The sequence below is a fragment of the Homo sapiens genome, chromosome 5 (genome assembly GCF_000001405.40).
Source record: "Homo sapiens chromosome 5, GRCh38.p14 Primary Assembly".
Classification (NCBI taxonomy): domain Eukaryota; kingdom Metazoa; phylum Chordata; class Mammalia; order Primates; family Hominidae; genus Homo; species Homo sapiens.
Genome location: NC_000005.10, coordinates 114,441,796 through 114,465,356, shown reverse-complemented (window position 1 = coordinate 114,465,356; position 23,561 = coordinate 114,441,796). Strand labels below are relative to the sequence as shown.

Below are 23,561 nucleotides of genomic sequence, written 5' to 3'. Positions count from 1 at the left end.
ACAGGCGTGGGACACAGTGCCAGGCCATAACCTCTCTTTTTTAAGCAAAGTAAGATCAGTAGTGAAACCTGAGCAAGAGGCAGTTCAAGAAGGTAAATAAAAGATTTGTACTATCTGATGAGACTTTGAAGGAACAGTTTTTGAGACACGAGGAACAAGAAAATATCAAGGAACGATAAACATTTTGTAAAACCCAGGCAAGGTTAACCTCAAATTTGGCTCAGATTCCATGGCAAATAAGCCTGTGCACATGACCCTTGAGTCACACCTGATTGGAGAATAAAAGAGGGTACCATCTTGACAAAAAGTAACACTAAGGAAGTTGTTTCTAAGAAGCACTAGGGGAAAGACTCTGCAATTACTAGTTTTTATAAATAGCATCATTTATATCCCTTGTGGACTTGTTATGGGCCTCCTAAAAATAATCTATGCAAATTACATTTCCCAAAGCATTATACCACATAATAAAATGCTATTATTTGAGGAAAAAAGGGGAAGTGATCCAATAGTAAACAAACAGATAATGCAGCATACCGTTTTTTTTTTTAAAGTTCACTATAATTAAAACTATTATTTTTCTTTTAAAGGCAAATAATGTTAAATTATGCCCCCAAACTATATTTTCTACAATTGGGACTTGAAATGGCCATCTTGTTACTACTGGGACATTAAAATTGACCCTGGATTCTTATTTTCAAAGTTAGCTGCCTTATCCCAGTTGAACACTACCGAGGGGGGAGAAGGATGTTGCCTGTCTATGCCAAGGGCACGCTCTCCTTCCACTTAGCTGTGACTCTTGGAGCAGTCTTCCCAGGCAGCTTCTGCAAAGGTGTGCACCCTCCACTGGCCACCACTCAGAGGCCCTCAAATGACAACCCTCTGCTCTCTCCTACCAGCCTGTGGGTGAATACAGTTAGAGGTGTTGAACAGGGTACCTGATTTCAGAAATTCTGACAATTTGGAACCTGCAGTACTCGTTCACATCCTCATGTAGACAGAAACCACACAAGGATCAAGATGACACTCTTTGCTGTAAGCAAACTTTAAAAAGTAGATAAAGAATGCAGACAAGCCTAGGTCATTGAAAACTGTGCATCAACAATTTGAAACTACCTCTGGCTTAAATATTTAGAAGTTCATACCACATTATAATCACAGCTTGCTAGCCTCCCATTTCCTATACCTAAAAAACAAATGGAGCAAAAAAGTGGTCCTGGCTAGTCATGTGTGGAGGGGCAAAAAAGATGTCTGAGCCTATGAGGCATGCCAGAAGAACGATGGCATGTCAGTAGCAGACCTTTCCCAAGTGCTCCACAAGACGTGGCCTCCTGTCCCTGCCTCATGCCAGGCCGCTCTCCCCTTTTGCTCTGTGTACTCCTGGCCCAATGACCTGGCTCCACTGTACTGAGCTCCTTCTTGCCTCATTGCCTTCAAATACACCATTTCCTCTTCCTGGAATGCTCTCCCTACTTCCCTTCCTGGGTATGGACCCTTCTCACTTCAGCGTAAAAATCAATTTTCTAGTGATGATTTCTCTGAGTAGATCCCATCCCTCTCCCCCAGGCCCAAAACAGGTCAGAAGCTTTACTAGTTCACAAATGTAATGAACCATTATTTATTATTTTTAAAATGCAAGTCTTCCCTTGTAAGCTCCATGAAGGCAGGGCAGTAAGTTTCTATCTTCTTTTGATGTATTCCTAGTACCTAGGCCAGTGCCTAGCACTCAACAAACATTTGTTAAAAGAAAGAAAAATAAATATTATAATTAATATATCTTCTACCCTTCAACACATTTCAAGATAGTTATTATGGGCTATATTTTACAATTTACTCAAATTTGCACAGCTAGTAGGAGATGGGAGGACACAGTCTTAAAGGACTTCCTGATTCTGAAGCCAAAGCTCCAAGATCAAATTAGTTTATCAAATTAGTGCATGCCCCACAAGGGGCAATCAAACAGCTCTACCTCTTCAACAGAATTTCATGATGAGAAGAATTAAGAGGAAAACTGTTGACATTCTCTCTCAACACAAAATTGATTTATTTATACTGATTTCCTGCTGATGGGAAAAGAAGTAGCTCACAATTACTTATGCACGTGGACTGAGTGGTTTAAGTGCCTTCTTGAGCGTAAATAAAAGAGATGTGAAGTATAAAGACACTTACCATAATTCCAGTAAGTAAGCAGACTCCTTTTCCACAGTATGTGTTAGGTACCATGTCACCATAACCAATGGAGAGAAAAGTTATTGATATCAACCACATCGCTCCAAGGAAGTTGCTAGTAACATCCTGTTGATCATGGTACCTGAAAAACAGCAAACAAAACCAGTCCTTTATAATTAATCTCCAATATGATAGTTAAGTGTGGTTTGGTTCAATTCAACGAATTTACTGTATCTTCTATAAACTGCTATATTTAGAAGTTTTCAAAGCTTGTGAATATAAACAAAATTGAGGTTCCATCTAAGCAATCCACGACATCAGAAAGTGCCTCAACTTTATATATCATCTGAAAGAGACTGTAAAATATAAAACAGATTTCCTCACTGGTGTAAGATGATACAGGCACATTTATCTTTGTAGACTCCTCCGGCCCCTGCCCGTGTCTCGTCACTCCTTGCCTAGCTGATGTGCCAGACTTAAGAGACAATATGCAGCTGCCCAATCTCACTCCACACCTTTGTAACCAAAATGAATTATGATGTTCCCTTTGCTTGGACTGGCCTTTGCTACCTCGATTTCCTGACGATGGGCTAACACCTCTTCATCCTTCAAAGTAAGTTCAAGTGGGAGCCTTTTCTGTCTTCTCTTCCCCTCAGTGCTTCCCCTGTGCTCCCTGAGTATCGGGCACATCCCTAGATCATGGGACCATATTATAATAGGTCAATCTACCTGGATGTCCTTCATCCTTGAACACAGAAACTGTACCTCTGATCACAGAGTCCCTGCCCATAACCAGAGCTTAATAGAAGTTGTCTTACCAGTTATACACAAAGAACTTACAGTCGAAAAGAGGGAGAGGGATACAAAGTATCCTAATCATTCTTTGAGGTGTCAAATTTTACTGGTAAGGAAGAAAGCTTTTATATCAGAAACAGGTATCCTATCACACTTCGGTTGAATTAACAGTACGAAACAGTAACCCTCTGTGCCCGTGATGTGGACACTGGTTTTATACAACAGCATGTATGCATACAACAGCAAGGCCATCAGAGTTGTCACCCTAGAAGAATTTGCTCTAGATGCACATTCTGTGTGGTCATGGGGCAGAGAGGCCCTGCTCTGGTTTCTATGACAGTCAGGCCCCAGACTCTGGTCACTAGAAGACTTCCTTACTTTTCACCCACCATTGGAAAGGACCATCACTCCTTCCCATCTCTCAGATACCACTCAGAGGGCTTTCCTTTCCTCATTTCTTGCTCTGCAAAATATACTGATAATTGCGCGGTACTCATCATCTCCTGCTTCGCTCACTCAGTCCTGCCTTTCAACTCAATTCCCCATCTGTGTCTGTGCTGCCAGGGCTGTGGTGGCAAGGAGGCTGCTCCTAGCCAGAGCCCCAGGATTAGCCCTATATGCAACCTACACTGGACCATGGCATTCGCTATGCTTTTTTTTTTTTTCCTGTCCCTCATCCCATGCCAAGCTTCCTGCTTCAAAAATAAAAAATGCAGATTTATCTTACAGGGTATAAGCTTTTCTCCACAATATCAGCAGATCTTACACTCTATCTTTGGACATACAAGAGACCCATTCTTATCACATTTGTCCCTTTGCCTTCTTCCAAAGAATAGAGAAGCTAAGAAATTCTGTTTCCTGCTACTGTGGACTAAGGAAACAGGCTCCGGGCTGGAGTGAGTGGAACCCCAGAGAAAGGGCAATCACTGATCTCCTGGAATCAAAGGGAAGGGCATGTGAACAGGCAGCCAGCCTGATTAGGAGCATCCTGCAAGTTTCTGTGGCAGAGGTGCAGAAATCACCACCGTTCCTCACCCCTAAACAACCTCCATGACCTAGCTGTAAAGTCCCCTCTCCCCAGAAGGTCTTGGTGTAGAGGCTGTCATTGTCAAAAGGAAAGTCATATGTATTCCTAGCATTCCAGGAAGGCAGCTGAGTGCATTTCCCCTGAGAATCTTTGTTACCTAATATATACCTAGGAAGATGCTATGTGATCAGTGCTATGCTCAGCCACAATATGAGCTAAGCAGGATTCTGTGGACTGCTCTGGGAGCCTGCTATGCGTATGTAACAGAGCTTCAATGGGAGGACGTGGTTTTCCTTTCAAAATAAAACCCCTAGAAATAAACTCTGGATTATAATCTATTAATAATATTGGGGCTCTCTAGTAAGTATTCCTCACCAAGCAATTTCCTAAAACAGGAAATACATTACCCTATCGTAAGAATGGTCTGTAAAGAGAGGGGAGGCAAAAGAGTTCATTTCCTATTCAGTTTTTAATTGTGAGACAAAGCTGCTTCTTAGCACAATTCATACACTGATGTGATACACTTAAGAGCTAATGGCTCTGGTTCCATGATGCATATGTATGTACATACCATACTTACTGAGTGTTCACTATGTACTCAGAGAACTTAACTTGCATTTTCTAATTTGACGTATGTTGTAATGCATGGACAATCTTTGGCTGAAACAGTTATATTCTTGACTGTCTCTATATCAGCAAAGTGTCCTTAGATACTTAGTTTCTAGACACTTAGAAAATGTGCCTGGGTCCCAGTGAAATCTTCAAGTTGTTTTTTCACTGCCACAGTGAGTGACCAGAACACTATTATTAATAACTAGCTAGGCCAGCCAGGTGTGGTGGCTCACACCTGGAATCCTACCACTTTGGGAGACCAAAGTAGGTGGATCTCCTGAGGTCAGGAGTTCGGGACCAGCTTGGGCCAACACAGTGAAACCCCATCTCTACTAAAAATGCAAAAGTTAGCCAGGTATGGTAGTGTAAGCCGATAGTCCCACCTACTTGGGAGGCTGAGGGAGGGGAATCACTTGAACCTGGGAGGCAGAGGTTGCAGTGAGCCAAGACTGCACTGCCACTGCACTCCAGCCTGGATGACAGAGTGAGACTCCTTGTCAAAAAACAACAAACAAACAAACAAAAAAACAACCTTCCTAGGCATGTGGTTTTCACAGAGCAGGTAACTACGAAGAGAAGTAAGAGATTTCATACGATAAACAAAGATTTCTAGGGGGTACCTTCATGGCCGTTGCCTGCAGGGAAATTTCAACTTTGGCATGGGTGTGAAGGTCTTTCTAATCTCCTGCTCCTGCAGCACTTTTTATTAAAAATGTTTTTCAGAGTTGGGGGCAGTAAATGACTGAAAACTGCAATGAAAAGCATACACTGGAACATTTAGGCAAGCTAACTCATTAGACGCTTACCTTTAACAAATGCTCAAATCTTAGATAGACAAATTTCTTCCATCCTTATTTGCCAAATACTCTCAGGAAATACATCATTAAATCACTCAATTAATATTTACTATATGCTGTTCGCATTACATTGCATCAGAGATTGTCATCCTGTATTGAAGAGCTTTAAATAGAAACATGCATCTTTCTAGGAGTTGGCATTTTAGGGCTTGGGATTCAATGATAAATTATCCTTTTTGCTTACAAAATAATAAACCTGCCCTAAAAATAGCTCAGAATAGAAAAATGACATCTCATACTAATGTTTATGTTGCACTCAGACATACATGATTGTGAATATTCAAGATGAGGTAATCAGGAACCAAATTAGATACTATTAGAATAATCCCCTATTTTGTTTTTCAGCAACTCAGAAACAAAATTAGACTTTTCACAGGATGATATTATCATTTTGAACATCCCCAGGTTTTTAATCTATGACAGATTCACATCACTGTGAATGATTAATACAATGTTTAAAAATTTTCAAAACATTTTTTATAGAAGTTCGCTTCACATACTTAGACAATTCCAACCTTCTCTACAAGGAGAACTATTCTGAGAAAGGCATGAAGAAATGATTTGTACAAATTTCAAGTTTTGATCAACATGAATGCTGATTTAATAAAAACACATTCAATAAGATTAAAATTAGTGCAAGGAATGCCCAATAATCTCAAGCTTTTAAAATGAGGACTTTGGAGTTTTGGCATGAACTGCATGCTTCAGAGACAAAGACTGTAAGATCAACTTTAATGTTTTAAAAGAAGCAAACTGTTCCTTTTCTTAGTTTCTATTCCTAATTCATTTCTTAATTCATTGCTGACTAAGGGTCTCACACTCTTTCTTAGATTACAAATATGACAGCTTTCTATAACGTGTGTCAAAGTTCACAGAAGTTATCTTTCCCAAGGAATCAGTGCCTTCTTCCCCAAGAGAGTGATGGCCTCTGGCCTGCGCTCCTGCCTCCCTCAGCACCCGCACACTAATGGCTGGGAGGTATGCTGTTATCCTTCACAGCTCTCTTTCTCTGCAGATGTATTTCCTTCTGCTGGGAAACACGTCCCCCCTTCTCTCTAACCCTCGTTTGTACTCTGAGGATCTGTTTGTGGGTCCCCTTCTCCAGATTCCCTGTAGCTTTTGGTCAGCATGATACTCCAAGCCTGGTTCCCTCTCTGTATCCCAGGAACATCTTGTAGATATCTCTAGCACCATTTGATAAACGTTACTTTGGGTCATAAGACAGGTAATGTGGAATTCACTCATCTAACATACCCTTAGAATCGAAATTATAAAGAATTTGAAGATAACGACTATGCCTTATTCATTGTTGTATAGTCACAGATGCTTACAAAAACATAGCAGGGAAGTAATATTTGAAGTAATTAATGTGACAAAGGGAAACATGTCCTCAAGTTGACTTGCCTTGGGCCACATGCTAGATTTTTAGGATTATACACATAGACATATAAAAAGTGGATAAAAATAATTCTTGCTCATCAGTGAACATAAATTGGATTTGTCGTGTTATGTTCCAAGATCTGTGTGCAACTTAGAAGGTATTTTTATATCTGTAAAAATAATTCAGTCGTGGAGGTTAACAGCTAACAAATTGTGTTCATTAATCCTTTTCTATTAAATTTACCAGTAATACTAAAAATGGAAAAAAAATCTCATCTCAAATGTCAGCTCTGGTCTCAAATGTCAGCCATAGTTAGTGAGAAGTATTATGGAGATGTAAATGCATGTGATCAATCCACCATCAGTTCTCTTTCTGGAATCCACCTCTCTCCTGAAATACCATTAAAGTGACAGCAATGCATTTTTTTTAAAAGGTGTAAACCAACAAGAACAAAGGGAAATGAAAGGAGACATCAGAGAAGAAGAAACAACACATTCTTATGTCAATTACTGTGTAATTTGCTTTCAGCCAAGATGGAGCAACAGAGAACTAGATTTATACTCTCTCCTGAAACAACTAAAAAAGCAGATAAAATATTTGATACAATGGTTATCAAGACATTGGTTATCTAGCAACAAAGGACAGTGATTCTTGAGAGATGGAAAACAACTGAGCAATACAATGGCCCCCACTTTAATGACTAAAGAGAATCTCTCAGGTGCAGCTCAGGGAAGGAAACCTGGCACTGCCTGGAGGTCTCCCTCTGTTGAAGGACAGAGCTGGAAATCCAGGGAGGTTAAGAATTCAAAAGGGCAAAAATCAAAAAGGAGAGACCTGTACAGAGACACATGCAGAGAACTTCATAGGGTTCTGCTTGATTATTAAGCTGAAAACTCATCTATGTGAAGTGATACAGTACCGCTTGAAGATAGACTGCAGTAAAAGATAGTATATACTATCAGGTGAAGAAAGACTGTGATAACATAGGTATAGTATGCCTAAGTGTGTAAGTGCAGTCATACCTGGGGGATATTGCAGGTTCAGATGCAGATCACTGCAATCATGCAAATATTTCAACAAAGCAAGTCACACAAATTTGTTTCCCAGTTTCTAAAAATGTTGTTATGTGTATACTATACTGTAGTTCTATTAAGTGTGCTATAGCATGATGTCTTAAAAAATGTATATACCTTAATTGAAGAGTGCTGTATTGCTCAAAAATTCTATGGATTTAAGTCTTCAATGAGTCATAATCTTTTTTCTGGTGGAGGGTCTTGCCTCAGTGTTGATGGCTGCTGACTGATCAGGGTGGTGCTTGCTGAAGGTTGAGATGGCTGTGGCAATTTCTTAAAATAACACAGCAATGAAGTTTGCCACATCAATGGACTCTTTCTTTCAGGAAAGATTTATCTATAGCATATGATGCTATATGATAGCATTTTACCCATAGAACTTCTTTCAAAATTGGAATCAATCCTCCCAAACCGTGACACAGCTTTATCAACTAAGTTTATGTATTTTCTAAAGTCTTTGTTGTCATTTCAACAATGTTCACAGCATCTTCTCCAGGAGTAGATTCCATCTCAAGAAACAGTTTATTTGCTGATCCATAGGAAGCAAAGCAAACGCCCCATACATTCAAATTTGATCATGAGATTGCAGCAATTCAATCACTTATTCAGGCTCTACTTCTATTAATATTTCTAGTTATCTTGCTATTTCCATTATACCTGCAGCTACTTCTTCTGTTGAAATTTGAATCCTTTCAAGTTATCCATGAGGTTTAGAATCAACTTCTTCCAAACTCCTGTTAATGTTGCTATTTTGACCTCCTTCCCTGAATCACAGATGTTCTTAATGGCATGTAGAATAAATTAATCCTTTCCAGAAGGTTTTCAATTTACTTTGCCTAGCTCCATCAGCTATAGCCTTACAAAATGTATTTTTGAAATAATATGACTTGAGAGTCATAATTACTCCTTGATCTGTGTGCTGCAGAATAGATGTTTTGTTAGCAGGCATGAAAACAACACTAATCTTGTCCATCTCCATCGGAGATCTTGGGTGACCAAGTGCATTGTCAGTGATCAGTAATAATTTCAGAGAAGTCTTTTTTTGTTTGTTTGTTTTGAGCAACAGAACTCAAAAGTGGCTTAAAATATTCAGTAAATGATGCTATAAACAGATGTGCTGTCATCCAGGCTTTGTTGTTCCATTTACAGGGCACAGGCAAAGTAGATTTAGTATAATTCTTAACGGCCCTAGGTTTTTCAGCATGGTAAATCAGGATTGCCTTCAACTCAGAGTCACCAGCAGCATTAGTACCTAACAAGACAGTTCATGTGTCCTTTGAAACTTTGAAGCCAGGCATTAACTTCTCCACTCTAGCTATGGAATTCCTAGATGACATATTTTTCCAATAGAAGCCTGTTTCATCTACATTGAAAATCTATTGTTTATTGTAGCCACCTTCAACGATCTTAGCTAGATCACATGTGGACACCTTGCTGTCGCCACATCAGCACTTCCTGCTTCACCTTGCTTTTATGTTATAAAGATGGTTTCTTTCCTTAAATCTAATGAACCAACCTCTGCTGGCTTCAAGCTTTTCTTCTGCAGCTTCCTCACCTCTCTCAGCCTTCAAAGAACTGAAGAGAGTTAGGACCTTGTATGGATTAGGCTTTGGCTTGAGGAAATGTTGCAGCTTGTTTTATCTTCTATCCAGACTACTCAAACTTTCTCCATAACCGCATTAAGGCTGTTTTGTTTCCTATTATTCATGTGTTCACTGGAGTAGCACTTTTAATTTCCTTCAACTTTTCCTTTGCATTCACAACTTGGATAAATGTTTGGTATAAGAAGCCTAGCTTTCAGCTTATCCCAGCTTTTGAAATGCCTTCCTCATTAAGCTTAATCATGTCTAGTTTTTGATTGAAAGTGAGAGATACGCAATCCTTCTTGTCACGTGAACACTTGGAAGCCATTGTAGGTCATTAGTTGGCCTCATTTAAGTATCACTGCGTTTCAGGGAATAGGAAAGCCAGATAAAAGTGAGAGAGATGGGGGAACAGCTAGTTGGTGAAGCAGTCAACACACACAACATTTATCATTTAAGTTTGCCTTCTCTTATGGGCTTGATTCATGGAACCCCAAGATAAATAGAATTGTAATATCAAAGATCCCTGATCATAAATCACCATAAGAGGTACAATAATGAAAAAGTTTGAGAAGCTACAAGAATTACCAAAATGTGACACAAAGACACCAACTGAGCATGTGCTATGGAAAAAATGATGCTGATCGCCTAGCTCGATGCAGCACTGACACAGTCCTTCAGTTTGTAAAAAATGCAGTATCTGTGAAACACAATAAAGTGAAGCACAATAAAATGAGGTAAGCCTGTGTGCCATAAACCCCAAAGGAACCACTGAAGTAACACATTGAAAAAGAATAGCTGATAACTCAATAAAGGATAGAAAATTGAATATTAAAAAAAATCCCAAGAGAGCCAGAAATAAAGGAAAAAAAGAGATGGAGCAAATAGTAAACAAATAGCAACAGGAGAGATTTACATAAGCGTATCTGTAACCACATTAAATATAAATGGTCTGTGTACCCCCAATTCGAAGGCACAAATTGTCATAGAACCCGTGGAAGTGTCACAACTTGGAGAAACCAAGTACCACAAAATGTGTGGATAAAGTCCAAAGCTAAAACCAGGGGAACTGATTAACTGTAAGTATACAGAATGATGGATACGCACGTACCTGCCCTGCCTGGTATCAACAGACAACTCACAGGAGATAGGTTCATTCTCTGGGGATACACTGGATACTCAGAGACTTAGGGCCCAGCCAAGGGCAGAAGAAATGTTTGGGGCCTTAAGTTCAAGTTTCTAAGCTGAACAGTAGCATTTCTAGTCTCTTTCCTTCACTTCCCATACCTGACCCTAATATTAGAATTTGATAATACAGAGAAAGAATATTTTTCCCTGGAGAAACAGGACAACTTCTCAGGAAAGACATTCATGTATTAATAATATCAAGAATTCCCTAATGAAAAACTCAACTATCACCCCACAGTGATTGTCATCAAACAGTAAACCCTTACCCTTACCGAGCTTCCAACTGGCTTCCAATTGCCACTCTTAATACGAGAGAATGGCAAATGATCAGCACACACTTGAATCTGATTTCTATCGAAAAGACACAAAAAGGAGGGAGGAAGAAAGAAAGGAAGGGAAGGGAGGAAACAGAACAAACCTGAGATGATGTAGAGTGATGAGGGGACAGGACTCCTGAACTATGTAAATTATACTACAAAAAGGCTAAATAAAAACTTTACTATGCAGCCATAAAAAGAATGAGTTCATGTCCTTTGCAGGGACATGGATGAAGCTGGAAACCATCATTCTCAGCAAACTAACACGGGAACAGAAAACCAAACACCGCATGTTCTCACTCGTAAGTGGGAGTTCAACAATGAGAATGCGTGGACACAGGGCAGGGAACATCACATACCGGGGCCTACTGGGGTGTGGTGAGACAGGACAGGGACAGCATTAGGACAAATACCTAATGCGTGTGGGGCTTAAAACCTAGATGACGGGTTGACAGGTGCAGCAAACCACCATGACACATGTATATCAATGTAACAAACCTACACATTCAGCACATGTATCACAGGAACTGAAAGTTAAAAAAAAATTGCATTAATAGGAAGAGGAAAAGTGGAATACAACTATACAACACCAACTTATGATGAAAAAGTAACCGTAATGCAGTTAGAATGTAAGTTGACAGAAATTTCCCAGAAAGTAGAAAAAAGCAAAAAGAGAAGAGGAGAACAAAAAAGATACATTCTCAGACAATTAAAATAGAGGTTCCAACAACTATCTTTCCAGAAGGATAATATGGACAGTGGAAGAAAAGAAATAGTGTTCTTCTATTTCTTTGACTGGAAAACTGGAAGGCACACATCTATCTCTAAAGGGAAGATTCTACTGAGAATATGTATACGAAATAAGAAATGACCTAAGTCATGGCAGATGACTGTAAATTTTTAAATACCAGGAATAAAGAAAAGATCTTAAAAAGTTTCTAAGAGGAGAAAAATAGACCGAGCTAAATATTCAAATGCTTGCCTCTAACATTATTTGTTTTAAGTAGTGTGTATGTGTGTTGGGAGGAAAAGAGGTAGGCAATGCATCTCTTGTTTTGTACAGGGGAGGGATGAAAAATCTGGCAGTAGGAACTGAGCAGGCATAGATCAGGCCCTCTCTTTCCTTGGCTTGCCCACAAAGCAGGTGTATGGGGTTTTCTATGTGGTAAGCTCACCTGGGACACAGAGTGACTCCCTCAGTGTGAGGGTACACCTACGACTTTTTTCAAATTCAGTGGTAAATCAGCAGAACATTAGAAAGCCCATGTGGCTGTAGGGCAAGTGGTGGTGTCCAAATCCGTTTAATTTCAGTAACAAAGCTGATATTGCCGTGTCCACCAGCTGCAGGCTCAGAGAGATGCAAGGAGTCTGATAAATGGTCTCCTTCCAAATTGCAACTATGTGCATGTAGTTTTCATTTGAAGTAAAGGCAAATAAAATAACTGCTTCAATTAATTAGAACATATAAGCATAAAAAGAAATTCAAAGAAGGTACATATCTAAGTTCAAAAGGAAAAGAGCTTACTGCCAATGGCTCAGAAGAAAGAGCTAACGTGTCTCTTACTTGTTGCTGATATTCACACGTAGCTATTCACTGTAGCGGCATATTCACCTGTAGCTGCATATTGGAGCCACCTGGGAAGTGTTAAAAGGAATCCTGTGCAAAGCCCCATCCGTAAACAATGAAGCTGAGGTCTCCGGGGGTGAAGCCATGGCACAGGGATTTTTTAAAAGCTCCCCAGATGATTTTAATGTGCTATCTAGTCTGAGAACCATCAATTAGCTTTATTTCAGGAGTTTCTCATTCAATAACATGGTGAACATCTACATGTAAAGAAACTTTTGGAGGCACTGAGAATATGTAGATGAGTAAAAATAGTAAGCATTCATGAGAAGCTTAAAATGTGGTAAGGCAGAAAACTGGTTGCAAGGAGTAAGGTAATATGCAAGCTGTAATAAATGTGAACACCAGATGTAAAGACCTATCAAAGAAAAATATATGCAACAGATTGAAAATGATGACATGAGTGTCTAATAATGTTCCATCACTGACACCTAAAATTACAGTTCTAAATTCAAATAAAATGTAAAATCCAGTAAGTCCAAACACTTTAATAAAAACCTCCCTAAGTGAGGGTGCTCTAAAGTATAAATGCTGTAGTTTTATGTATGAAACTACTCTCTCTGGAACTAATTTATAGAACGTATGAGAATGTAAACTGCCCCAATCTATTTGACGTTCTCATAGTCCCCTCCTTGCACTCCTATTTTTTCCCTATAACTGAGTTATGAAAACATAAACATGGCTTTAGGATCTTGAGGATTTCAATACAGACTTCCTTTAATATTAGTAAGTAAACAAAGAGAAGCAGCAGTGGCAACAGGCAGTATAATGCTGCTACATCTAAAGCCCAGCTTTAATTTAGGCAGGATTCCATTTGATTCTTTTTTTTTTTTTTTTGAGACAGTGTCTTGCTCTGTCACCCAGGCTGGAGTGTAGTGGCGTGATCTTGGCTCACTGCAAGCTCCGCCACCCGGGTTCACGCCATTCTGCTGCCTCAGCCTCCCAAGTAGCTGAGACTACAGGCACCCGCTACCATGCCTGGCTAATTTTTTTGTATTTTTAGTAGAGATGGGGTTTCACCATGTTAGGCAGGATGGTCTTGATCTCCTGACCTCATAATCCGCCCGCCTTGGCCTCCCAAAGTGCTGGGATTACAGGCTTGAGCCACCGCCTCCAGCCTTGAATTTTTATAAATTATATAATTCTTTATTGACTCTAAAATGCCAAAGTGAGTATTTTCACCTTGATTTTCTTTTGCTCCTTTAATTTTGCACATTTGGAATGTCTTCCTCTCTTCTTTTCATTGAGAAAAATGTCAAAGCTAACCCCTTTTCTCTCTCCCTGTGTGTGTGTGCGTATGTTTGGCGGGGCATGGTTCTGTAAAATGTCCGGTTTCTTTTCATGCATTAACCTTGGCTAATGACAGTTTCATTCACACTTGGGATATAGACAACTTACTTTTTTGTCTCCAGACCATCAGCGGCTATGTTCTAAGAGCATAAGCTTACTTTAAAATAAAGTTCGATGTCCCAATGGAAAAGGGAATGATAGAACATCCACAAATTTTCAAACTTGAAGAATTACATTTATCGTGTTTCCCTGAGAGGACAAAGAGGTTTTGTTTTCTAACTCTATTATTCACTATGCATTTACATGTCATATTGGAATAAGTGACTTCAGCAATGACTTATCTGTCAATAAGTTAAAAGTCTCAAATCTTACACCTATATAACTTTCACTACTATGTTAAAAACCTATAAGAACACAGACGGTATCACTAATAATTTCCCCCAATTTATATATTATTAGAAAATTACATTATTTGAAAATTAAATGTTGATTACTACTGAGCAAAACTATTTTATGTCCTTATTTAAAATGAATTTAGGTCTAAGCTAAGAAAATTATAAACAGGTTTTTGTTATATGTAATATCCAGTAGGTCAATCTGAAGTCAAGTGGGATGTAGAACAGTGTTTTGTTAAATGCGTAACAGATACACAGCATCCCTGGCCCAAGGCAGCAACAAGAAAAAAAATTCTCCACTAATTTCCATAATTCCCCTGGGGGCGGTATTACTCCTGTTCTGAACCACTGGCCTAGAGTTTCAGGGCAGCTGGGACTCTAGTAATGGCCATCAGACAATCTGGAGCTGGCTTCATATCAACACATCTGGAAAGTAGTGAAACTGGAAAATCTTGGAATTTGGCAAAAACGCCTGAAGAGAATTATATTCTCAAGCCCCTGATACTTTCTGGGAAATCAAAAAATATCAAAATCCAGAACAATGTTTTAACCAGGACTAGCATTTCTGACCAAGTTTCTCTTTCCTCCTGTTCCTTTTCTAACTTCCAGACCAGTGGATATTTAAACATTGCGGGGCAACCTCTATTCATTCAGCTCCTGCTGCGTGCCAGGCATCCTGTGCACACTGTGAGCTCCTCCAAGAGGAAACTGGAACCCCAGCAGACAGATGGAGCCATGCTCGACCAGGCCCAAAGATTCCCTTACCCAAAAAACCACTTTTTCAAAAACACTTAATCTAATCCATGTCTGATGTGTGCCAGGCTCTGCTGATAGCAGAGAAAGCATGTTGACACTGGCCTGGCAGACTCTATTTTTAGAAGCCCCCACTATGATTTTCCATGATGGGTAGCGGCCAGCTGACGGATGCACGGCACCTCAGAGGCAAAGAACGGTGTGGCGGGCAGTCACTAGGTGGCAGTGCCACACCAGTTTATCCCCACAGCTGCTCTGCAGAGTTCAGCCAGATCAGTGCTAGAGGAGGGCTGTGAGGTGATGTTGTGGGAATACCCTGCAGGGAAAGCCCCCATTCTGGGTTAAGGGCTCTTCTAAGGGAAGAGTGCGCGCACGCGAGCGCGCGCGTGTGTGTGTGTGTGTGTGTGTGTGTGTGTATGTTTGGATGCTTACTCTATTCTAAATCCAATCTAAGGTAGCAGATCTGAGGAGGCAGCATCTGTACATTTCACCCCTCTGAGATTCTCAAGATCAAAGACCAGATCTTATCTCTTAAATCTGTAAGGAAAAAAAAAATCCCTGTGGATATTTTTAACTAGGCAATGTTGGAAATGAACCTGCATTTGAAGATATAAAAGTCAGGGTCTTGTTCACTTGCTCTGAGACAAGAGGCAAGGAGGAACTGAGCTGGGTTCAGAGGTGCTGCCCCACCTCTTGTTCTGCATGACCCACAGCAGTGCATCCTAATGTCTGAGCCTCGCTTTTCTCTAAGAGAACAGACTGTCTACCTCACCAGGTGGCTGTGAGCACGGAGATAACAAAACGCTACCCAAGTCCTCATCAGTGTACAGACTGTGTGCTCTATATTCAGCAAGTACTCTATTTACGTAAAAGTAGATACAAAGAAAAGTCATTACTTTTGGAAGTGGGCCTTCTTGCACAGAAGCAAGGTGACATACCTGAGGGCTGCTCAGAGTATGCGCAGCTTTGGTTTTGCTCCCTTCTACCCTACACTACGTTTTGCTGCCACTGCCAATGAGCACAGTAACTAGTATGACAAAGACTGAAAAGAGGGCTGGAGAAGGAGAGGAGGGAGAGGAAAAGGTTAGTCAGAGGTCCCTTGGAAAGGCAGGAGCAACATAGGGTGAGGGTACAGCAGGCCACAAAATGAAACCAGGAAGAAAGTGGGAAGTTCAGTGACAAGAAGTCCAAATGAAAAAAGAAAGCTCACGATCGTTCTGTGCCATTTCATTTTTGGGCCCCCTCAGCTGCCTCTCCTACCAACACTAGCACTTCAATCTCCAGGGTGGCAGGCCGAGGGAGGACGTACATCTCTATGTCTAGTATCAGTCACGTATTCCTGAGAATTTTTTGACAGGGCTTCTGTTTAGGGCTCTCAGTCAACTGAGAAAAAAATATGCGCCACTGATCCAAATCAACCAGCTTAAGGTGCCCCATCTACAGTACGCAGTTATCACAAATTGATTCTAAATTTTTAATTTTCAAAATACAGCAAATGAAAATTCCTACGTAGAACAAACAATGACAAGAAGTCTTAGCCTCCAGCACTTCACAGTTTCAAGCTATGTTTCTAGGGAAGCAGAACATTCCTGAATGTCATTGCATTATTCCTCGGGGAGAGATAAGAAGCAGAGTCAGAAAACTGAGCCACCAAACCCAGCGAGCTGAGAGAGTTCTCAGATGAAGATGATTCCAGACAGGCTGAGGAGAATGAGCACAGATTTTCTGGGAAGGTCATTTTCAAGGTTTACCAGTTAAATTTTCCCACTTCAATTCTAAAAATTAGTCTTAGAATGCCTCCTAATTGCACCTTGCTTGATTCAGCATGGGCAGCTAAAATATAGACTTCAATGCCAAAATGTCAGGAACTGAATTAAAACACAGGTCTAGGTTCATGCAGGAGGAGCACAGTGTAGTGAACGAAGCTGTCTCAAACTCAAACCATCACCGCTAAGACCCACCAGTCCCCTACTCCATAAAGGCTTCAGAACACCCTTGTAGAGATCTGGAACTGACACAATATGTTGTGTTAAAGCCGGAAAAATATTTTTATACAGGCAGAAAATAAGAAATGAAGGGAAGAAAAGAAGAGTTGGGTAACAAGAAAGGATGAGATAGGGGAGCTGAAAGTGAGAAAGTGAATAAAAGAGTGAAAATAACTGCAAGTAAAATTTTGTAAACATATAATGGTTGGAGAAAAATCACTACATAAATCACGAAAACCCCAAAACTTTCAATGCCAGCCAGCCTACTAATTACTTAAAAAGCCAGCCTTGTTTTCCAGCACTATCCACAAATAGATCATGTAGCTTTCACTAGTTCCTATAAAGTTTCCAACTAATCCAGAAAAAAAGGTGAAAAGAAAAAGGCAATTCAATATTTCATTATTCTTAAATATTAGTATTTTTGGAATTTAAAATGATAAAAATGCTTCCTGGTTGAAGGTTTTCACCTGTAGAAGCAAAAAGGAAAAAGCGCACCCTTCGTAAAGTGTGGTACATACTCAGCTCATCAAAATACACTTGTAAAATGACTAGCAATGACAAATACAGCAGACATTTTCCTGAACAGAATCACAATTCTGGCTCACTAAATTGGTCTAACAAACTTTTTTTTTCCCCATAGGTAATGCAGGAATCAATAGGATGGAATACTGCAAAGGGAAGCTTGGAGAGAGAATAGCCTCTGCACTTTGACTGTTTTGCAGTTAACCAAAGGCCATCGAGGATCAGAATTACAAAAATCAAACAGACCCATGAGCTTGAGCTCAGTTGTGCAAAATGTTTGTCAGTCATCTCTCTTCAAAACAAACACAGGACATCTTCTTAAATTCTACCTCTGTTAAACTATACTTCCCAAACAAGAACCTATCAAACCCAGAGACATTTCCTTCTATTAAAATAACAAAATTAGGCTGATGACAGTCAAACTCTTAGCCAAATACAATAGCTGGATCTAAAACCATTCAGTTCTCAGTGCAGTGAACTTAAATGGCCACTAGGCAGGTGAAAGTCAAAAGGATCAAAACCAGCTTTCTCCTCCATTCTACCAATCAGGCTAAGAATTACTATGTGCCCAGCTTGGTAGCCACAGGGGTGCTCTAGAGGATATAAATAAGTATTTGCATGTGTTCTACATAGGCTTTGAGGAAGCTTATAGGAAATATCTGACCTGGAAGCATATTAGAAAAGGAAATAGGAGCTGCACTACAGCACTGTTCAAAATAACTTTCTGCAAAAATAATGAAAATATTCAATATCTGTGCTGTGCAACACAGTGGCCACTAGCCACATGTGTCTACTGAGCACCTGAAGATGAATAGTGTCAAATGAGGAACTAGATTTTTAAGTTTATGTCATTTTAATAAATTAAAATTTTGATTGATTGATCGACTGAGACAGAGTCTTGCTCTGTCACCCAGTCTGGAGCGCAGTGGTGTGATCTCGGCTCACTGCAACTTCGACCTCCCTGATTCAAGCAATTATCCTGCTTCAGCCTTCCAAGTAGATTGCAGGCAATTAAAATTAAATTTAAAGGCCAGGTGTAGTGACTCATGCCTGTAATCTCAGAAATTTGGGAGGCTGAGGCAGCTGGATCACTTGAGGTCAGGAGTTCGAGACCAGCCTGGCCGACATGGTGAAACCCTGTCTCTACCAAAAAAATTACAAAAATTAGCCGGGCACAGAGGTGCATGCCTGTAATTCCAGCTGCTTGGGAGGCTGAGGCAGGAGAATAGCTTGAACCTGGGAGACGGAGGTGGCAGGGAGCTGAGATCACACCGCTGCACTCCAGCCTGGGCAACAAGGCGAGACTCTGTCTCAAAAAATAAAATATAAATTAAATAGCCGTATGATGTTATTGGCTGCCATGTTGGACAGCAAGGACCAGAGAGCCAAGTTGTGAGATCCACAGAACACATATATAAATGCTTTCATAACAGGGCTATTTCAATTTAGCCATTAAGATTCACTAAGAACTTCCTCTTTGCCAAAGTAAAATAGGACACAGAAGATATAATACCTTCCCCAATTTCCAAGACTTTATATATACATATTTGACACAGTATTCTATGCGCTTCTGTCATTTGGTTATTTTGTTGTGATGCTTCTTGGACAAGGAAAATAAGTCGAATACTTTAAAGAAATGAGTTTAGACTCATTTTTGTATATTAGTTTACTCAGACAGGTAGTACTCCCCTAGTTCATAGGAAGACTGTACCAAGTACTGGGGCCAGGGGAGGAGGCCAGTAACGTCTATCCAGAAATTCTGACATCCACAAGAAGTGAAGAATTATCCTAGGCTTCACAGGCTTGCAAAGCACCCTTGTTCTTCCTATTAAGCCTATGCTGGTCACTTCCCGTGATCCTGCCCATACTGTGGGAAACAGCTGGTGCCCAAGGTGGGATCCACAAAAAGGTTACTGCAGGGTAGATGCTTTTGGGATGCATTGCTTTCCAAATCAAACAACTAGAATAAAAGAGAGTGTCTCTCATTACCCAGTACTGAGGTTCTGCTCACCTGGCATGCTACTGAAGAAATAACAGAAGCAAGGCTTAATTTATACATTTACAAGATAATTTTATATATTGTTTAGTGATATGCATATTGATAGCAATACTAGCAAACTACAGGAAAAAAGTAATGGAATACATATAGAGATGATCTTTTTATTACTTTGTGTATTTTGATGCATGTCAAACATTTTTAAACAGATGCTTCCAATGGTGTGACTATTTGTGTAGCTACTTAGCTTACATAGAAATAGTTTTAAAACACAGTGTGAAGAATAATGCAGCCAACTAAAGCTTTCTTTTGCTCTGTGCAATTTAATTAAAGTGTTTGTTTCTTAACTTGTGTATTTTACTGATAAGTAATATTTTTATAAAGTGTCTCATGGATGCAAAGGTAGCTGAACACTTTATTAAAATGTTGACATCTACAATTGAAAAGGGATCTCATGATAACCCCTTTTTTCTTAGTAAACGGAGGTAAGGCATGTTGTAGGGCATTTTTGCTTTTATCATATTAAAGATTTATTTGATCCAATTTACATACACTTTATCATAAAAGGTGCTTATCCTGAAATCACTTGGGCACAGCTAAAGAAGGCCAGCTGCCCTTCCTAGAAATCCCCCAAATAGTCCCTGAAATACTTTTTCTCTTTGCACCCCACATTGCATGTATACATATACATGTAAAGACACACACATATACATGCAAGCACATATGTTATGTTACTACTGTATTCAGAATTGTGACCTCCCATCATATACAAATCATGAACCCATCTAAACTTTGTGTTCTAAATAAACAACCTGCTGGTTTAGAAAAATAATACAATGAAGACCCACACTGTGCAAATCACTGTACTTGATGCAATGTGGGGTGCAAGGAGAAAAATTTTTTCAGGGGGTATTTGAGTGAGGGGAGGTTCTAGGAAGAGCAGCAGGCTTTCTTCAGCTTTGTCCAATCCCCAGACTCATTTGGTGAGACAAGAAGGTGTTTTTGTGAAGCTTCAGGTCAGCATAGTACCCAGACACCCAAATGGTGCTCTCTCATCAGTGCCATTACACAGCACACAGCTGTCCTCCCTCCATATTCCTTTCGTCTGTTAAGATGGTATTTCCAAATACCAAGGTGCCTGAAATCAAATCACACAAGTTGAAGTCACCTTTACCTATGTCTCATCCCTCAAATCAAGGAACCCTGACGTTCTGGGGCATCCACTTTCAAACATTCTCAAATTGAGCATTCTTTTTGGCCTGGCCTCTGCTTGCCACTCCAATCTTAATTTTTGCTGTCCTGAACTTGCACCCTAAGCTCCAGCTGAAGTAGTTTCAATTCATGGGGCATATATTGCTCTTACCCCTCCAGGATTCTCATATGCTGTCTTTTTTTTCTTGTATCTTAATCCCCACTTTGGCCTGTATTTTGGTCCTTCACATTCCGAAGTCAGTGATTTCTTAATACTCTAACCCCTCCTCCTCCTGAGAAGGGGTTATGTATCCCTTGCTGTATGGTCCATGGCACCTGGAATTACCACTACTTGTGCTAAGGAGTGGTCTCTGTCTTGCTCAAAGCAATATGCCCTGTGCTGGTTAGAACCATGCCTGTTACATGGTACTCAAAAAGGAGAGTCTTGGTGAATGAATAAGTGGGAGAACTCCCATTTCCACTGCCTTATTCTAGTGATGAGAAGACAGAGGCTTAGTCCATTGTAACAGACATCTTACCAGTCTACCTCTTTCCTTGTCTCCAGCCTATCTCTCTATATCATCCTTCTCATTGTTCTGTGAGTTATCTTTCTAAAACAAGGTGATTCCCCACTGCTTAGAATGAAAAGTCCAATTGCTTTAGCATATACCCCAAGCCATTAATAATTGGGTCCCAACCCACCTTTCCTGACACTTCTTCTTATCACCAGCCACATGACAAATTAGGAGCAGAGAAGAGTGATAACCCAGATCTCTTTACTTCCAAACACACGTTCAGGCTGCTTCTTAGTAAATCTGAGGTTCACCCACTACAATATAGATTTCAATACTTGCCACCCGTGCATCTATTTCACGTGCCTTCACAGATTACTTCTACTATAAAAATTTTAAGAGCTTCTAAAATCAGTACCCTTCATTAAACTGCTTTCCTGAGAGCCCCTGAGGGCAGAAAAATAATTTTAGTAAAATCCACTTATTCATAGGAAATTAAATATTTTATGCAATGGATAATTTGAGATCCTTGTGTTCTTGTTCCCTTTTAACTCTTCAATCTGATTTAGACTGTGGAAGCAAGGCATTCCTTACATAATCCCAACGAAGCATTTAGCCTAATGATTCTAAAGTTCTTTCTACATGAGAACAATGAACATTATGTGACCAAATGCTGAAAATAACCTACAAGTCTTCCACTGAAGCAGAAAAATTTTAAATCAACTGTTAGTACTGTATTAATGACCCCCATGTTCTTAAGCCTCTTTTTTTTTTTTCTTTTTTCTTTGTTTCTTTTTTTTTGAGACGGAGTCTCTCTCTGTCGCCAGGCTGGAGTCAGTGGCATGATCTCGGCTCACTGCAACCTCCCCCTCCTGCGTTCAAGCAATTCTTCTGCCTCAGCCTCCTCAGTAGCTGGGATTACAGGCACGCGCCACCACGCCCAGTTAATTTTTGTATTTTTAGCAAAGACAGGGTTTCACCATGTTGGTCAGGCTGGTCTCAAACTCCTGACCTCGTGATCTGACCCCCTCAGCCTCCCACAGTGCTGGGATTACAGACTTGAGCCACTGCACCCGGCCTTAAGCATTTAAATAGTCACTCCTTTGTGAAAAAAACACCTTTAAAAATCTCTTGTGCTGGCATGAGGTCCCTCTAAATGACGTTCCAATTTACCCTTCTGACCATGCTCATGCACTATGTTCTTAAACAGAACTACTGTGTGTCCTCTTTTCCCCCTGCCCACATCTCTCCGAGTTCACAAGTGTTTCATATTCTGAAGGTCCTGTTCCGATGAGACTTAATTTTATACACCACAGTATTTTCCATCCCTCTCTTACATATCCTTTAGTCCCTGCACTGCTGTTACTGGTGCACATCTCTCATCTTTCCTCCTAGACTGTAAACCCGAGGGGCAGGTTTATGGTCTGAGTCTTCCGTCGTTTGCCATTCATAAGCCCCAATAGCATCTGGCGAGGCATACTTCAAAAAGGAGGTATTCATAGAGATGTATTGCATGAGGGCAGGAAAGAGACAACTGTATCCCAGGACAGAAGCATGGGAGCAGCTTGTCATATCACTGAGGAAACTGAGGTTCAGCCTGGTGAAGGGACTTGCCAAAGTTCACCCCACATAGGTAAATTCCTGATGATTTCAGCCCCTATAACCAGGTAACTTTCTGCATCAACTCCATTTTTAAATGCATTGTTTTTCCTTAAAATCACTACATAAATGTCCCTGTCCTCCAAACTTCAATGAACAGAAGTTACTCTTTTCTTATATTTACAAATATTGACTCTCTCTCTCTATATATACAGTAAATATATGAAAATTATATATATATATGTATATATATAATTCGTTCTGCTGTAATGGTGATGCACTGAGAGGGATGTCTCTTCCCCACGTGAAATCTCTCTAGATTGTGGTTTCTAATAATGTCACTTTTGTACTGTTTTGTTTATCCTGTTCCTAACCAGGAACCAACCAGGTTGTCACTAACTTCTGTTATCCTCACTCCAGTGGCTTTTTTCTCTTTTTAATTTGTGTTTGAGAAATGGGATTCTGAGCTATACTAAAATAGTATGCAATGAAAGGCAGAAAGCTATCCCTGAGTCCACCAATTATTTTTTCTATGAATACAGCAGTTAAGTTTTAAAACATGCATTTTTGGCTACTCACTGGCAGTCTTGTTTCTTTCTCAGTGTGAATTCTGGAGGGACAGGCTGTGGGATAATAGATCTTTAGGAGCAAAGTGAGGTGACCCAAAGTCAAGTGCCTCGTTTACTAAGCTCTTG

At 40.1% G+C, this 23,561-nt stretch overlaps 1 protein-coding gene and 1 long non-coding RNA gene across 9 annotated transcripts in view, besides 1 other annotated feature; one reads left to right on the top strand and one right to left on the bottom strand.

Moving 5' to 3' along the window:
* LOC101927078 (uncharacterized) overlaps positions 1-17,939 on the top strand; it is a 325,996-nt gene extending 308,057 nt beyond the window's left edge. The window contains exons 12-13 of the long non-coding RNA NR_130785.1: positions 16,554-16,794; positions 17,687-17,939. This is a non-coding gene — a long non-coding RNA (uncharacterized LOC101927078). The remainder of the gene's footprint in view (positions 1-16,553; positions 16,795-17,686) is intronic.
* KCNN2 (potassium calcium-activated channel subfamily N member 2) overlaps positions 1-23,561 on the bottom strand; it is a 440,519-nt gene that overhangs the window by 31,140 nt on the left and 385,818 nt on the right. For all 8 annotated transcript variants that reach the window (NR_174097.1, NR_103458.2, XM_047417166.1 and 5 more), the window contains one exon: positions 2,167-2,308. Coding sequence is in view for 6 of the 8 variants with exons in the window: in XM_047417166.1 (XP_047273122.1) it covers positions 2,167-2,308 (142 nt within the window). In the remaining 2 variants the exon portion in view is untranslated. The remainder of the gene's footprint in view (positions 1-2,166; positions 2,309-23,561) is intronic.
* Positions 15,469-15,538: an enhancer, noted in NCBI's record as "active region_22922". NCBI's record gives its function as "activates an Ori minimal core promoter by ATAC-STARR-seq in GM12878 lymphoblastoid cells {active_cell/tissue: GM12878}" and the evidence as "EXISTENCE:reporter gene assay evidence [ECO:0000049][PMID:35858748]".